The following is a 17,253-nucleotide window of genomic DNA, read 5'->3' on the forward strand; positions in this document are numbered from 1 at the left end:
TTCCCTACAAGACTCAGAGTCCATAGGGTTGGTGCTGTCTCAGTCACCACTGGGTCCCCAACATCAACCAAGGGGTTCTTGGAGGTAGTAAGTATACTTTGCATCAACCTCCTCTCTGTGGGGCAGAGCCGTCCCATCACTGCTGTATTCTCACCCCGGAGGGACACAGAGTAGACACTCACAAATCACCTTCATTGATTCTAAGAGAGATTCGTTTTCCTTTTTCTTTTCCCACATTTTAACAATTTTTTTTAAGAGACAGAGTCTCACTGTTGCCCATGCTGAAGTGCAGTGATGTGATCACAGCCCACTGCAGCCTTGACCTCCATGGCTCAAGCAATCCTCCCACCTCAGCCTCCTGAGTAACAAACCACAGGCACACGCCACCATGCCTGGCTAATTTTAAAATTTTTTTGTAGAGATGGGGTCCCCCTATATTGCCCAGGGTGGTCTCGAACTCCTGGGCTCAAGCAATCCTCCTGTCTTGGCCTCCCAAAGTGTTGGGATTACAGGTATGAGCCACTGGGTCTGGCTGCAATTTTAAAAATAAGACAATTGACTGGGTGCCGTGGCTCACATCTGTAATCCCACTTTGGGAGGTCGAGGCAGGCAGATCAACTGAGGCCAGGAGTTTGAGACCAGCCTGACCAACTTGGTGAAACCCCATCTCTACTAAAAATACAACAATTAGCCAGGCGTGGTGGTGCATGCCTGTAATCTCGGCTACTCGGGAGGCGGAGGCAGGAGAATTGCTTGAACCTCGGAGGCGGAGGCTGCAGGGATCTGAGATCGCGCCATTGCGCTCCAGCCTGGGTGACAGAGTGAGACTGGGTCCCAATAAATAAATAAATAAATAAAGACAACAATGAAGTTTGCTGCATCACTTGCCTCTTCCTTTCACAAAAGATTTCTCTGTAGCATGCGACGCTGTTTGATAGCATTCTACCCATGGCAGAACTTTCAAAATTGAAGGCAATCCTCTCAATCCCTGCGACTGCCTTATCAAGTAAGTTTATGTCATATCCTAAATCCCCTGTTGTCAATTTAACAATATTCACAGCATCTTCACCAGGCGTAGATTCCATCTCAAGAAACCACTTTCTTTGCTCATCCATAAGAAGCAACTCCTCGCCTATTCAAGTTTGATCATGAGATTGCAGCAATTCAGTCACATCTTCAGGCTCTACTTCTAATTTTAGTTCTCTTGCTATTTCTACCACATCTGCAGTAAATGCCTCCACTGAAGTCTTTTTTTTGTTGTTGTTTGTTTTTTGAGATGGAGTCTTGCTCTGTCACTCAGGATGGAGTACAGTGGCATGATCTCAGCTCACTGCAACATCCGCCTCCCAGGTTCAAGCAGTTCTTCTGCCTCAGCCTGCCAAGTATCTGCAATTACAGGTGCACATCGCCGCGCCCAGCTAATTTTTGTATTTTTAGTAGAGACGAGATTTTGTCATTTTGGCCAGGCTGGTTTCAAATTCCTGACCTCAAGTGATCCACCCGCCTCAGCCTCCCAAAGCGCTGGGTTACAGGCATGAGTCATCATGCCCGGCCTTTTTGTTTTTTTGAGACAGGGTCTGGCTCTGTTGCCCAGGCTGGAGTACGGTGTTGTAGTCATTGCTCACTGTAACCTTGAACTCTTGGAATCAAACAATTTTCCCTCATCAGCCTCCCAAGTAGCCAGAACTACAGGCAAGTGTCACCACACTCAGCTAACTTTAAACATTTTTTGTAGAGATGGGGTCTCACGATATTGCCCAAGCTGGTCTCAAACTCTTGGCCTCAAGGGATCCTCCCAACTCGGCCTCTCAAAGTGCTGGGATTACAGGTGTGAGTCACCATGCCTGGCCCCTATCTCAGCTTTGGACACGCCTTCTTCACTGAGCTTAATCATTTCTAGCTTTTGATTTAAAGTGAGAGACACGTGACTCTTCCTTTTACTTGGATACTTGGAGGCCATTTTAGAGTCATTAATTGGCCTAATTTCATTATAGTTGTGTCTCACAGAAGAGGGAGGTGCAAGGAGAAGGAGAGAGACAGGAAAATGGCCAGTCAGTGGAGCAGTCAGAACACATACAATGTTTATCAATTAAGTTTGTTGTTACCTGTGGGCACAGTTTATGGTGCCCCGAAATGATTACAATGCTAACATCAAAGATCACCATACCAGAGATAATGATGATGAAAAAGTTTGACATGTTGTGAGAATTTCCAAAATGTGACACAGAGACATGAAATGAGCACGTGCTGTTGGAAAAATGGCACCAACGGGCTTGCTGGACACAGGGTTGCCACGAACTTTCAATTTGTAAAAACCATAGTATCAGGCCAGGCGGGGTGGCTCATGCCTGTAATCCCAGCACTTTGGGAGGCCAAGGCGGGAAGATCACTTGAGGCCAGGAGTTCAAGACCAGCCTGGCCAAGATAGCAATACCCCATCTCTATTAAAAATACCAAAACAAGCCGGGCATGGTGGCGCATGCCTGTAGTCCCAGCTACTCGGGAGGCTGAGGTAGGAGAAGCCCTTGAACCTGGGAGGTGGAGGTTGCAGCGAGCCAAGATCATACCACGCACTCCAGCCTGGGCAACAAGAGCAAAACTCCGTCTCAATAAATAAATGAATAAATAAATAAATAAAACAAGAGTTGGGCATGGTGGCGCGTGCTTGTGGTCCCAGCTACTTGGGAGGCAAAGGTAGTAGAGATTGCTTGAGCCCAGGAGGTGGAGGTTGCAGTGAGCAGAGATCACGCCACTGCACTCCAGCCTGGGTGGCAGAACAAGACCCTCTTCTCCACCACATCCCCGCCCCCCCGCAAAAAATACCACATAGTATCTGTGAAGGACAATAAAGCTGCATGCAATAAAATGAGGTGTGCCTGAAATTGAGTTTATTATTGAACGAATGAAAGTTCTCTCTCAACTCAGGTTCTTTGCAGAGGCTGGTCCCTTAGCCTGGGATGCAACTCCCTAATGTGCCATCTGGCTCACTCCTACTCATCCTTTGGATCTCAGGTCAGGTGCCCCCTCCTCCAGGAAGCCCTCCCTGACTCCCAGGCTGAGTCGGGCTTCCTCCTTTGTGCTCCCACAGCCCTCTGGGGTCCCCCATCCCAGTGCTGCCCCCTCTGTCATCATTATCTTGGGATGGATCTGACTCCACCACTGGACTCTGAGTCCTGTGGGGGCAGAGCCTGGCTGTCTTGTCCATTGCTGCGTTTCCAGCATGCAGATAGGCAGGGTGCAACCCCTCTCTCTCTGGCTGGTGCTCTCAGGAGCTGCTAGGGGCATCCCTGGGAACATGCCAGTCTGCATCGGTGCATGTGTGCAGGTGGCAGTGGCTCTCTTTCTTGGTCCACAATCATCCTGGGCTGCAATAATCTCCATTTTCTCGGGCCTGGAGCCCCTGAAGCAGTGCCTGGGTTTGATGCATCTCTGGAGCCCTAGCTGCTGCAGCAGAATGAATGAGGTTCCTGAATGGAGTCAGTGGGTTTCGGGGTTTCTGTATATGTTGTCAGTGTGTAACTGTGTCTCTTAAAGTCTGCACATCTGTGTCCCGGAATGTGTGTGTTTGCGAGGCTTTGGTAAGTGTGTGTTTGTCTGAGTCTTGCTTTCCTTCAGTGACTCTGTTGTTTTGTTTCGTTTAGAGACAGAATCTTGCTCAGTCACCCAGGCTGGAGTGCAGTAGCATGATCACGGCTCACTGCAGCCTTGAACTCCTGGGCTCAAGCAATCCTCCCACCTCAGCCTCCTGAGTAGCTGGGACTACAGATGTGCACCATCATACCTGGCTCATTTTTTTTTTTTTTTTAAGAGATAGGGTCTTGGCCAGGCACGGTGGCTCACGCCTGTAATCCCAGCACTTTGGGAGTCCGAGGTGGGCGGATCACGAGGTCAGGAGATCGAGACCATCCTGGCTAACACGGTGAAACCCCGTCTCTACTAAAAAATACAAAAAAATTTAGCCAGGCGCGGTGGCAGGCGCCTGTAGTCCCAGCTACTCGGGAGGCTGAGGCAGGAGAATGGCAGGAACCCGGGAGGCGGAGCTTGCAGTGAGCCGAGATTGCACCACTGCACTCCAGCGTGGGAGACAGAGCGAGACTCCGTCTCAAAAAAAAAAAAAAAAAAAAGAGATAGGGTCTTGCTATGTTGCCCAGGCTGGTCTCAACCTCCTGGGCTCAAGCAAACCTCCTACCTCGGCCTCCCAAATTGCTGAGATTACAGGCGTGAGTGAGCCGCCATGCCCAGCCACGAAGTAACTCTGTATTTGAGGCTCTTTCTGTGTCTTTCCCTTCTCTCTTGGGCCAGGGGTGCGTGTCCATGCATTTTGGGAAGGAGTCCTTGCTGTCTGCTGGTCTGTGTGCTCGGTGTCCGGGGAAGTCTGAGAACCATGTTGTTCACTCTCTTCAGCTCTGTGTGTTTGTGTCAGTCAGTGAGAGCATGAGTGAGTCGTGTGTCTTTTGCCCTGCACCTCCCTTTCACCTGTGGCTTAAGAACTCTGTACTATGCGGCCAACAGCCCACTCTTCCCCAGCTCTCAGGGTGGCTCTGAGCTAGTCTATTCCCCTTCTGGGCCTCTCTCTCCTTAGTTGTTCTCAGAGGCTCCTTTCCAGAACTGGCCTGCAGATGGTCAGGAAAATCCTCTGAGTAGCGTTATTGTAAATTCCCTACAAGAGGAGAATGGAGAAGGCCCTGTGGAGCCTGGCCTGGGCAGAGAGGAAGCCCGGAGGGGAGACAGGACAGAGACACTTATAAAGGACAAGAAGGGGCCGGGTGTAGTGGCTACACCTGTAATCTTAGCGCTTTGGGAGGCGGCATAACCTGAGGTCAGGAGGTTTGGGAGGCGAGGCAGGCGGATAACCTGAGGTCAGGAGTTCAAGACCAGCCTAGGCAACATGGTGAAACCCCACCTCTACTAAAAAAAAAAAAAAAAAAAAAAAATTAGCCAAGCCTGGTGGTGCATGCTAGTAGTCCCAGCTACTCAGGAGGCTGAAGCAGGAGAATCACTTGAACCCAGGAGGCGGAGGTTGCAGTGAGCCAAGATTGTGTCACTGCACTCCAGCCTGGGTGACAGAGCAAGACACTGTTTCAAAAAAAGAAAAAAAAGAAATCAATGACTAAATTATTGGGCTTACAAGATAGCAGATCAGCCTCCCGAGTAGCTGGGACTACATGCATGCACCACATCTGGCTAATTTTTGTATTTTTAGTAGAGATGGAGTTTCACCACATTGCCCAGGCTGATCTCAAACTCCTGGCCTCAAGTGATGCACTCGCCTCGGCCTCCCAAAGTGCTGGCATTACAGGCGTGAGCCACTGTGCCCACCAGCAATGACCGAATTTGTATCATCAACTTTCACACTTCTCTGGGGAACTGACAGTCCCCTGGGTGGAGGGTGGAGTGGTAGCAGGGCCAAGCCCTTGGAAACCAATCTGTGAATCTGAGACTTTGTCCTTGGGGGGTGATGGAGACCATGGAGGATTTTGAACAGGTCTTGGTGTTAGAAAGATCTCTCTGGAGTCTTCAGGGGAACTGGAGGGCCCAGTGTGAGTGGGTGGTGACCCCATGAGCAGCTGGGGCTTGGGGTCCCTGCTCCACCTCCGGGCCCCACCCCCTGACATCACTGTCGCATTATTGCACCAGGTCTGGCTGACCAATAAGCTGCTGCTTGCTATGATAATGGGTCCTAGCAACGGTGTCTGACCTTGGCTAAGAGGGAAGGAGATCCTATCAGTGGGGAGAGTGTGAGGGGAGAGGGAGAGCCTGCAGGGCAGGTGAGTCCCCCAGGGCTCTCTCGCTGGGCCCCTGTGCGTGGGCGGAGCAGGAGCTTATGGTCTAATCCGGACCCCCTCAGCCCAAATTCCAACCACTGACTTGTCTGCCCCTTGCTGCCAGGACCTGTTCCAGGTTCCTACTCTTCCCACCGCAGACCATACTAGGGAGAGGGCACACCCAGGATAGGAGGCTCAGATCTGGAGGCAACAATGTCTTTTTTTTTTCCTTTTTTTTTTTCTGAGACGGAGTCTCGCTCTGTCGCCCAGGCTGGAGTGCAGTGGTGCAATCTTGGCTCACTGCAACCTCCGCCTCCTGGGTTCAAGAGCTGGGACTACAGGCATGCGCCACAACACCTGGCTAATTTTTGTATTTTTAGTGGAGATGGAGTTTCACCATGTTGGCCAGGCTGGTCTCGAACTCCTGACCTCAAGTGATCCACCCACCTCGGCCTCCCAAAGTGCTAGGATTACAGGCGTGAGCCACCATGCCCAGCCGGGAACAATGTCTTAAGGACATATTTCTGTGGGGGGTGGAGTGGGGTAGCAGAGGATGGGGTGAGTGGTAGGAGGTGAAGAGACGGGGTGCAGGGGGCAAGGAGACAATGCAGGAGGCAGGGACATGCAGCTGAAGGGAGAGTAGCTCTCTAGGTGGGTGAAGGAGCCTGGGGACCTGGGTTGGGGTCCTGGCTATGCCTCTGGATGAGGAGACCTCATTTGTCTTGTCTGAGCCTCAGTCCTTCTCCCTGTCAAATGGGGACAGTGATCCCAGACATGAGCAGCTCTCCCAGGGCACCCTGAAGACCCTTAGTGAGTAAATGTATTTTAGAGATGATGGGCCAGAGGAGGGTGAGTGGGAAGAGGGAGGACCAGGGAAGCTCCTGGTGAGGAGGAGGGATCTGAGGGGGGACCATCACGACAGGAGCTCTGGGCGGTGGGAGGGGAACTGAACCCCGGGAGGCAAGGGCTGCCATGGCAGGGGTGGGGTTTCATGGAAATGACTCCTGGTGTCCAGGTGGTCCCCATGTCTGGCTTCCCGAACCCAAGGGCGTCTGAACCCAAAGTCAGCCTAGGGCTAGCTGAACGGGGTTTGTGGGCATCACAGCAGCCCTGCGAGGTGGGGAGGAGTATCCCCCACGGGGCAGCTGAGGCTCAGACAGGGCGAGGACTTGCTCAAAGTCACACAGCTAAGAATATTACTAATGATAAGAATAATGACGATGATGGTGATGCCAATGACACGAGGCACCTGCCCTGAGCCAGGCGCCGTTTTATGGGCTGCTTTATGTCATAACTCATTCAAGTCACAGAGATCCTAGGAGGTGGTTTGCCAGGATTGTAGGTATCATTCTCAGTGTTCAGATGAGGAGAGTGAGGAGAGAGTTAAGTAACTTGCCTCACATCACTCAGTAAGTATGTGGTGGAGCCAGGATTTGATCCCAGGCAGTCTGGCTCCGGGTCTGGGTCCCCTCCACCCTACCCTCCAATCCCAGCCACCGCAGGAGTGCAGCTGTTTCCTCTGAATGGGCCTGTACCACCCTTTCCTATGCAGCCCTGGCTATGTAATTTGCCCTGGCTATATAATTTGCAAGGCCCAGTACGAAATGAAAATATGGGGCCCCTGGTTCAAATATTATAAAGAATTTCAGGCCAGGCATAGTGGCTCATGCCCTTAATCCCAGCGCTCTGGGAAGCTGAGGCAGGAGGACCTTGATCTCGGAAGTTCAAGACCAGCTGGGACAACATAGTGAGACTCCCATCTCTACAAAAAATTTAAAAAGTAGCTGGGCATGGTGGCATGCGCCTGTGGTCCCAGCTGTTCAGGAGGCTGAGGTGGGAGGATTGCTAGAGCCAAGGAGATCAAGGCTGCAATGAGCCATGATCGTAGCACTGTGCTCCAGCCTCGATGACAGAGAGACCCTGTCTCAAACAAACAAACAAACAAACAAACAATTTCAGCTAGTGTCAGCAGAGCATTAAACCAAGCACTGGGCCATTCTAAGCACAGAACCCTCCAGGGCACACATACACCCAGAAAACTGACCTGTGCCTAGGTTACCCTGGAGACTCCAATAGTGCTCCAAGAGGCTGCTTGGTGGTCATGCCCATTACCCAGAGAGGTGCTTCATTTTGCCCCTGGTCACACAGCAAGTTAGTGGCAGAAAAGGGATGTGAACCTGGGCCTGCCAGACCCCAAAGCCCTCTAACTTGTGCCAAAAATGTGTCCCCAATTCTTGAAGGAAAAAGAGAGCTGTGGGCTTCCAGGGCGACTCCCTTCACATCCGTGGTATCTGTCTCTCCCTGCCCCATGCCAAGGCCCAGGAGGTGTGAATGGCTCCCTTCTCCTCTGCAGGCGCTGAGGATCACGCATCCTGTGACTCTCCCCTGTCCCCCGCCACCCTCTGAACCACTGGCCACCATGGCTACTTCAAAGTTGCCCGTGGTGCCTGGGGAGGAGGAAAACACCATCCTTATGGCCAAGGAAAGGCTGGAGGCCCTGCGCACAGCCTTTGAGTCGGGTGACCTCCCCCAGGCCGCCTCTCACCTCCAGGAGCTGCTGGCCTCCACGGAAAGCATCCGCCTGGAGGTGGGCGTCACGGGCGAGTCGGGCGCGGGCAAGTCCTCCCTCATCAATGCCCTGCGTGGCCTGGAGGCCGAGGACCCTGGCGCGGCTCTCACGGGCGTCATGGAGACCACGATGCAACCGTCGCCCTATCCACACCCACAGTTCCCTGACGTGACCCTCTGGGACCTGCCAGGAGCCGGCTCTCCAGGCTGCCCGGCTGACAAGTACCTAAAGCAGGTAGACTTCAGCCGCTATGACTTCTTCCTGCTGGTCTCCCCCCGCCGCTGCGGGGCCGTCGAGACCCGCCTGGCCGCTGAGATCCTGTGCCAGGGCAAGAAGTTCTACTTTGTGCGCACCAAGGTGGACGAGGACCTGGCGGCCACGCGCACCCAGCGGCCGTCGGGCTTCAGAGAGGCCGCTGTCCTGCAGGAGATCCGAGACCACTGTGCCGAGCGGCTGCGGGAGGCCGGCGTGGCTGACCCTCGCATCTTCCTGGTGTCCAACCTCTCGCCGGCCCGCTACGACTTTCCCACGCTGGTGTCCACCTGGGAGCACGACCTGCCCTCCCACCGGCGCCACGCTGGCCTGCTGTCGCTCCCCGACATCTCGCTGGAGGCCTTGCAGAAGAAGAAGGCCATGCTTCAAGAGCAAGTCCTCAAGACCGCCCTGGTGTTGGGCGTCATCCAGGCCCTGCCGGTCCCAGGGCTGGCGGCCGCCTACGATGATGCGTTGCTCATCCACTCACTGCGTGGCTACCACCGCAGCTTTGGTCTGGACGACGACTCGCTGGCCAAGCTGGCCGAGCAGGTGGGCAAACAGGCAGGTGACCTGCGCTCGGTCATCCGCTCCCCACTGGCCAACGAGGTCTCGCCTGAGACTGTCCTGCGGCTCTATTCCCAGTCGTCCGACGGCGCCATGCGGGTGGCCCGCGCCTTTGAGAGGGGCATCCCTGTGTTTGGGACGCTGGTGGCTGGCGGCATCAGCTTTGGCGCTGTCTACACCATGCTCCAGGGCTGCCTCAACGAGATGGCTGAGGACGCCCAGCGTGTCCGCATCAAGGCCCTGGAGGATGACGAGCCGCAGCCGGAGGTCAGCTTGGAAGTGGCCAGTGACAATGGCGTGGAAAAGGGGGGCTCCGGGGAGGGAGGTGGGGAGGAAGCCCCACTCTCAACCTGCAGGAAGCTCGGCCTCCTTCTTAAGTACATTCTGGACAGCTGGAAGAAACACGACTCAGAAGAGAAATAAAGAGTGCAGCCCCGCCCCCCTGCCTCACCCACAAACTAAGTCTTAACAAAATCCAAATTACCAACAAAAAAGGCCGATGTGGTGAATGTGAGGGCTGCAGTTGCCTGGGGGGTGGGTGTGGAGGGAGCCTGTGTCCCTGGCAGGCAGGGGAGCCGGCGTCCTGGGCAGGGCAAAGGAGGGGGCACTGGGGAGGGGAGGAGGGAGGCAGGTGGGCCCAGGGCCAACAGGGGTGTAGTGAAAGGGGACAGGAGTGCCCTGGAGAGGGAGGTTGGAGACATGGATGGTGGGCCCAGGGTTCCCTGGTGGTGTCTTTCTCCCTGGTCCCCAAGTGGCCAGGAGGAATTTGTGGGGCACAGGACAGCAGGGCCAAGACAGGAGATTGCATCCTGCTAAGGTGCTTTCTATTTTATTTTATTTTATTATTATTATTTTTTGAGATGGAATCTTGCTCTGTCACCCAGGCTGGAGTGCAGTGGCCCGATCTCGGCTCATTGCAGCTTCTGCCTCCCAGGTTCAAGCAATTCTCCTGCCTCAGCCTCCTAAGTAGCTGGGATTATAGGTGAGCACCACCAAGCCCAGCTAATTTTTTTTTTTTTTTCGAGACTCAGAGCCCAGGCTAGAGTGCTGTGGCACAATCTTGGCTCATTGCAACCTCCACCTCCCGAGTTCAAGCAATTCTCCTGCCTCAGCCTCCCAAGTAGCTGGGATTACAGGCACACGCCAACACGTCCAGCTAATTTTTGTATTTTTGGTAGAGAGGGGGTTTCACCATGTTGGCCAGGCTGGTCTTGAACTCCTGACCTTGGCCTCTCAAAGTGCTGGGATTACAGGCGTGAGCCACTGCACCTGGCCCCTGCTAAGGTACTTTAGTTTCAATCTCATGTCCGTGTCTGAGAACCCAGTGTACCAAAGACAGCCCCAGGGGCCTGGGATGAGCACAGTGGTGTCCAGCAATGGCTAAACAGGTTGGGGAGAGTGGGCATCCGTGCCTGCCTGCTGCCTGGGAGCCATGGAGGGGTAGGGGGTGGCAGGGAGAGGGAGGCCAGGCGGCCACAGGGCTCACCTCCGTGTGGTGCTTGAGAAGACAGAGAATGGCATGGTGAGAGAGTGACTGGATGTTTCCATGAACATCGGAGGAGAGAGGAGGCCGACGATGCAACTCCGTGGCCTAGCATGAGTCTTACTCCAGAAGGAGGGCGGGTGTGTCTCAGAGCAGGAAGGCACATGGTGTTGAGACATCTGGCGTGTCTGTGATTGGGAAGAATCCTGGTCTCTCCATGATTAAAAAAAATTTTTTTTAGAGACAGGGTCTTGCCCTGTCGCCCAGGCTGGAGTGCAGTGGCGTGATCACAGCTCTCTTCAGCCTTGACTTCTTGATTTTGATGCTGTGAGTCTAAGATTGTGACTCATTTGCTGAGTCTGGGGTCACCTGTCTCTGTGGGATTGGGTCGGGGTGTGCGCGTGTGAATACTGGGACCTGCTGAAAGGCCCTGGGTCTTAACGGGAGGGCAACTATGTGTTGAGCTTTCTGACCAGACTGGTCAATATGGAGAAACCCCATCTCTATTAAAAATACAAAAATTAGCTGGTGTGGTGGTGCCTGCCTATAGTCCCAGCTACTAGGGAGGCTAAGGCAGGAAAATCGCTTGAGACCTGGAGGCGGAGGTTACAGTGAGCTGAGACTGTGACTCCGCACTCCAGCCTGGGTGACAAGACTCTGCCTCAAAAAAAGAAAAGAAAAAAAAAAAGCTAAGTTTAGAGATTCATGTCTACATTTTTATTTTTCACTTTGACACACTCAAACCTAACTTTCCCCTGCTCAAGACCAAATTAAAAAGTAACCATAACAATAAAAGTCATAACAATGCCCAGAGTGTCTGAGGCATCACCAATAATAATACTGAGAGTGTAACCACACGCAAGGCTAAGTACTTTATATTAGCTAACATTTATTCATCACTGCTAGGTACTCCTGGTTCATAACACCCTGGAAAAGAAGCTTCTCTTACTGTTTACATTTGGCACTGAGAGAATGATTAAGTTGCTCGGCCAGGTGTGGTGGCTCATGCCTGTAATCCCAGCACTTTGGAAGGCTGAGGCCGGTGGATCACCTGAAGTCAGGAGTTCGAGACCAGCCTGACCAACATGGTGAAACCCTGTCTCTACTAAAAATACAAAAATTAGCCAGGCGTGGTGGCAGGCACCTGTAATCCCAGCTACTTGGGAGGCTGAGGCAGGAGAATTGCTTGAACTGGGGAGGCAGATGTTGCAGTGAGCCAAGACTGTGCCACTGCACTCCAGCCTGGGCGACAGAGCAAGACTCTGTCTGAAAAAAACGAACAGAAAACTTACCCAGGCTGTTGTAGGGAGGTGTCAACCAGTATTTGCCCAAGCTTCTATTATCTAATTATGACATTGCTGGAGACCATCAACAATTAAAGGATTAGGAGCATAAATATTTTTGCTTTTTTTTTTTTTTTTTTTTGTGAGACAAGGTCTCACTTTGTCATCAGGATGGAGTGCAGTCACATGATATCAGCTCACTGCAACCTCCACCTCCCGGGTTCAAGCGATTCTCCAACCTCAGCCTCCTGAGTTGCTGGGATTATAGGCATGAGCCACCGTGCCCGGCTAATTTTTTTGTACTTTTAGTAGAAACGGGGTTTCACTGTGTTGGCCAATCTGGTCTTGAACACCTGGCTTCAAGTGATCCTCCTGCTTTGGCCTCCCAAAGTGCTGGGGTTACAGGTATGAATGACCATGCCCAGCGTATTTTTGCATTTAGTTAAATTCTGGTTTTGGGCAGTTTTAAGATCTAATTTCAATGTCTTTTCTGTAGACTGCAGTCACTTTTGGGGTGAAACAGGGAATCTGAACATGTATGTCTCAAAGTTTGACTTTGTGGCTGGGCGCAGGGCTCATACCTGTAATCCCAGCACTTAGGGAGTCCGAGGCAGCAGGATCACTTGAGCCCAGGAGTTGGAGACCAGCCTAGGCAACATGGCGAGACCCTGTCTCTACAAAAAATACAAAAAACTAGCCAGGCATGTGGCACGCGCCTGTAGGCCTAGCTACTCAGGAGGCTGAGGTGGGAGGATCACTTGGGCCTCAGAGGTCAAGGCTGTAATGGGCCATGATCGTGCCACTGCACTCCAGCCTGGGTGACAGAATGAGATCCTATCTCAAAAAAAGAAAAAATAGGCTGGGCGCAGTGGCTCACGCCCGTAATCCCAGCATTTTGGGAGGCCGAGGTGGGCGGATTACTTGAGGTCAGGAGTTCAAGACCAGCCCGGCCAACATGGTGAAACCCCATCTCCATCTCCACTAAAAACACAAAAATTAGCTGGGCGTGGTGGCAGGCACCTGTAATCCCAGCTACTTGGGAGGCTGAGGCAGGAGAATCGCTTGAACCCAGTGGGCATAAGTGGCAGTGAGCCGAGATCATGCCACTGCACTCCAGCCTGGGCAAAACCCCATCTCAAAAATAAATAAATAAATAAATATGAAAGATGTGGATACAGAAGTCAATGCCCTTTAGTTTGGCAGCACAGGGATTGGTGAGAAGGACTTAATGTGGCTCTTTCTGGTAAGGCTGGATAGAATTCTTGCGTACGTGTCTTTTCCAATAGACAAAGTCGCCAGGCTGCAGATCATGGTGTTGTAGGTCTTTGTCTCCTATGATTGTGCTGTGGAAAGATTGTTCTATCAAAATATGATTTCTATCCATTGCTTTATTAATGCCTTTACCTTAGTAAGGCTTTATTAATATTGAAGTATGTCTGTTTTGTTTTTTTTTGTTTTTTTGTTTTTGTTTTGAGACAGTGTCTCCCTCTGGTGCCCAGGCTGGAGTACGGTAGCGGGATCTTGGCTCATTGCAACCTCTGCCTCCCGGTTGAAGTGATCGTCCCGTCTCAGCATCCCGAGTAGCTGGGACTACAGGTGCACACACAACTACACCCAGCTAATTTTTGTGTTTTTGTAGAGACAGGGTTTTGCCATGTTACCCAAGCTGGTCTCGAGCTCCTGGACTCAAGCGATCCCCTTGCTTCAGCCTCCCAAAGTGTTAGGATTTTACGAGTGTGAGCCACTGCACCCAGATGGATATGTCTCCTTTTATCAATTAAGGGTCAAAAGCAGAGGAGGCCAAGTGCATAGGATGGCCTGTGACTATTTCCAAAGGTGAAAGTTTATGAGCCCCAAAGAGAGTGGCCCTTAGATTTAATAATACCAAAGGAGGAACTTAGGTCAAGGAAGGTGTAGATAAATTCTGCCAACTGGGTTTTTTGTTTTTTTGTTTTGAAATGGAGTCTCACTCTATCACCTAGGCTGGAGTGCAGCGGCTTGATCTCAGCTCACTGCAACCTCTGTCCCCTGGGTTTGAGCAATTCTCCTGCCTCAGCCTCCCAAGTAGCTGGGATTATAGGCGTGTACCACCACACCTGGCTAATTTTTGTATTTTTAATAGGGATGGGGTTTCACCATGTTGGCCAGGCTGGTCTTGAACTCCTGATCTCAAGTGATCTGCCTGCCTCAGCCTTCCAAAGTGCTGGGGTTACAGGGGTGAGCTACTGTGCCCGGCCATCCAACTGGGTTTTTATAGTTCCCCTTGTTTGTTCCACTGAGCCAGAAGATTGGGGATTGTAGACAGTGGAAATGCTGAGAAATTGGCCAAACTGAACTCACTTGTTTTATTATATGGCCAGTAAAATGGGCTCCTGATCACGATGTACTTCAAGGGGAGTTCCCTAGGTGGGAATACTTTTTTTCCAGGAGAATTTTGGCCACAGCTGAAGCAGTGGCTTGTCTACCAGGAAAGCCTCTACCCAATAGGAGAATGTGCAAACTGTTACTAGTACATATATATATATATATATATATATACACACACACACACACACACACACACACACACACACACGGAAGTGGGTAGTTGGATAAAATCCATTTGCCAAACCTTGAAGGGCCCATTAGGTAGATTAAAATGTCCAGGATCGGGATGTACACATTTTCCTGAGTTAAACTTACGGCAGGTGGCACAAGTGCCAAATAGGCTTTTTTTTTTTTTTTTGGCAGCTTTTTTTTTTTTTTTTTTTTTTTTTTTTGAGAGAGGGTCTCATTCTGTCACTCAGACTGGAGTGCAATGGCACGATCTCCACTCACTGCAGCCTTGATCTCCTAGGCTCAGGTGACTCTCCCACCTCAGCCTCCCCAGTAGTTGAAACTACTTATTTTGATATTTTTAGTAGAGACACGATTTCCCTATGTTGCCCAGGCTGGTCTCGAACTCCTGGACTCAAGCAATCCGCCCCCTTCGGCCTCCCAGAGTGCTGGGATTACAGGCCCGAGAGCCACTGCACTTGGCCAGTACAGCTTCTTTTAATGTCACTCCCCCTAATATTGTTTCATAAAACAATTTGTAAGTTCCCCAGTGGGTCAGATTATGTACTGTAGTTAAGAATATTGACTTGGAGAGAACTGGTTATCAGGCCTTAAACACAGCTTTTTTTTTTTTTTTTTTTTTTTTTTCAAATCATTGAACTAGCAGTGTGATCTTTCCAATTTTGTTCTTCCGTTTCTGGTGCCCAATTTTGTGCATCTTTGGTAATCATTTTTAGATCACCTTTTGGTGGCTCTTTTAGCTGGGCCTCAAGAGAGATTTGAGGAACCGAACCTTTAACAGCAGCATCCTTTGCGGCATTATCAGCCAAGACTGTTTCCTCTAGCTTCCGCAGAGGTTAACCTTGAATGTCCGGGAGTTTCCATAATAGCCAAGGCAGCTGGCAGCTGGATGGCATCCAGTAAGTCCCGTACATAGGATCCATTTTTAATTTGACCTCCAGTGGACGTGAGTAAACCCCTTCATTTCCATAGCAGTCCAAAATCAGGAGCAACCCCAAAGGCATATCTACTATCTGTATAGAGTAACAGATTGCCCTTTCACGAGGAGGCCAGCAAGGGCAGTGAGTTTAGCTTTTCGTGCAAAAGTAGCCACAGGGGCCAGGCGCAGCAGCTCACACCTGTAATCCCAGCACTTTGGGAGGCCGAGGTAGGCAGATTACTTGAGGTCAGGAGTTCAGGAAGACTGGCCAACATGACGAAACCCTGTCTCTACTAAAAATACAAAAAAATTAGCTGGGCATGGTGGTGGGTGCCTGTAATCCCAGCTACTCGGGAGGCTGAGGCAGGAAAATTGCTTGAATCCAGTGGGCAGAGGTTGCAGTGAGCTGAGATTGCGCCACTGTACTCCAGCTTGGGCAACAGAGCAAGACTCCATCTCAAAAGAAAAAAAAAAAAGTAGCCACAGGTAAGGGGCGGCTTCAGCAACTTCGAAGGAAGTGGTAACTACATATCTTACACAGTTTTTACCATTGTCATCTTTCAGATACGATCCATCTATATCCATAGTTCAGCCAGTTCAGCATTATCTAGCGGAAATTCTTGTAAACATTTTTTAGGGAATCAAAAGATAGTGTCAAACAGTCATGGAGAGCTGTGTGCAGTGGCTCACACCTGTAATCCCAGCACTTTGGGAGGCCAAGGTGGGTGGATCACCTGAGGTCAAGAGTTCGAGACCAGCATGGCCAACATATAGTGAAACCCCATCTCTATTAAAAATACAAAAAATTAGCCAGGGGTGGTGGCGGGCACCTGTAATCCCAGCTACTCGGGAGACTGAGGCTGGAGAATCACTTGAACCCGGGAGGCCAGAGGTTGCAGTGAGCCGAGATTGCGCCACTGCACTCCAGCCTGGGCAACAGAGCTAGACTCCGTCTCAAAAAAAAAAAAAAAACAACCTGTGGGCCTATGCCTGTATTCCCTTAGGCTTTCCCATGGTGGTTGTGGATTGGCTATTTTAAAGAAAACACGCTTGAAGGGGGAACTTATTTACATCGCTCTGATGTTGACCATCCCATAGGGCCATGGTCAGCCACTGTAGGATGTTGTTGGATTTTGGATTGGTGAGATGAGGAACAAGTGGGCTAAACTGCAAGCCACAAGGGGAAGGGGAAGTTTTACTAGGCCAAGGTGATGAGGTTTCGTTGAGTTTCAAACAATGTATGTCAGGCCTAAAAGTGGATGCCAAGGCAGCAAGTATATTGTAACACATTTATGACAGGCATGCAGAGGGATTGGAGAATGGGTAACTCAGGGTGAAAATACTCCCTCCCCTGTTCTGCTAAGGGTCACCACGTTCTGAAGCTGGAGAACTAGGGGTCAGGCAACCCATGGCAAGTACAGCCCAGCCAGCCCTCAGCCAGTTCAAGATACTGATGCTGTCGTGAGAGGCAGCCAGGGCTCTGACGGAGGCCCGCAAGATGGGGAATCTGCCAGCAGTTGCTGCCAAGTTGCAGGCCACACTTTGTTCACGGGAGAATGCAGGCTGCACGCTGGCACTACCAAGGGCACAGGCTCAGGCAAGTTGACCTGTCAATATCATGAGAGGCTACGAAATAAAGACCCTAACTCAGCCTGCATGGCTGTGATAGAAATGGCTGTGGACCCTACACCCTACCCGCACCCACGGTCATCATCAGACCGGCCAGGCATAGGCACGCCCACTTTTTAGGCTGACAAGTACCTCCAGCAGGTGCTGCTGGACCGTTACATCCTCATTATCATTGCATCAGAGCATTTGACCACCGGCCATGCCCAGCTGGCTCGCGAGATCCTGCAGCA

The 17,253-nt window shown here is 51.3% G+C and overlaps 1 protein-coding gene across 4 annotated transcripts, besides 1 other annotated feature; it reads left to right on the forward strand.

The window, feature by feature from the left end:
* Nucleotides 5,675–6,175: an enhancer, noted in NCBI's record as "H3K4me1 hESC enhancer chr19:44220201-44220701 (GRCh37/hg19 assembly coordinates)". NCBI's record gives its function as "activates a minimal SCP1, AML or CMV promoter by ChIP-STARR-seq in naive H9 embryonic stem cells {active_cell/tissue: H9 hESC(naive)}" and the evidence as "EXISTENCE:reporter gene assay evidence [ECO:0000049][PMID:30033119]".
* On the forward strand, nucleotides 5,702–9,647 carry IRGC (immunity related GTPase cinema). 4 transcript variants are annotated; one of them, XM_011527118.4, is made up of 3 exons: nucleotides 5,702–5,768; nucleotides 6,503–6,575; nucleotides 8,119–9,647. In XM_011527118.4, the coding sequence occupies exon 3, from the start codon at nucleotides 8,185–8,187 to the stop codon at nucleotides 9,574–9,576; it is 1,392 nt and encodes a 463-aa protein (XP_011525420.1). In that variant the 5' UTR covers nucleotides 5,702–5,768; nucleotides 6,503–6,575; nucleotides 8,119–8,184; the 3' UTR covers nucleotides 9,577–9,647. The 4 variants fall into 4 exon arrangements, with proteins under 4 accessions (XP_011525420.1, NP_062558.1, XP_005259115.1 ...); NM_019612.4 differs by lacking the exon at nucleotides 6,503–6,575; XM_005259058.4 differs by lacking the exon at nucleotides 6,503–6,575 and having other exon boundaries at nucleotides 8,006–9,592.

The sequence above is a fragment of the Homo sapiens genome, chromosome 19 (genome assembly GCF_000001405.40).
Source record: "Homo sapiens chromosome 19, GRCh38.p14 Primary Assembly".
Classification (NCBI taxonomy): domain Eukaryota; kingdom Metazoa; phylum Chordata; class Mammalia; order Primates; family Hominidae; genus Homo; species Homo sapiens.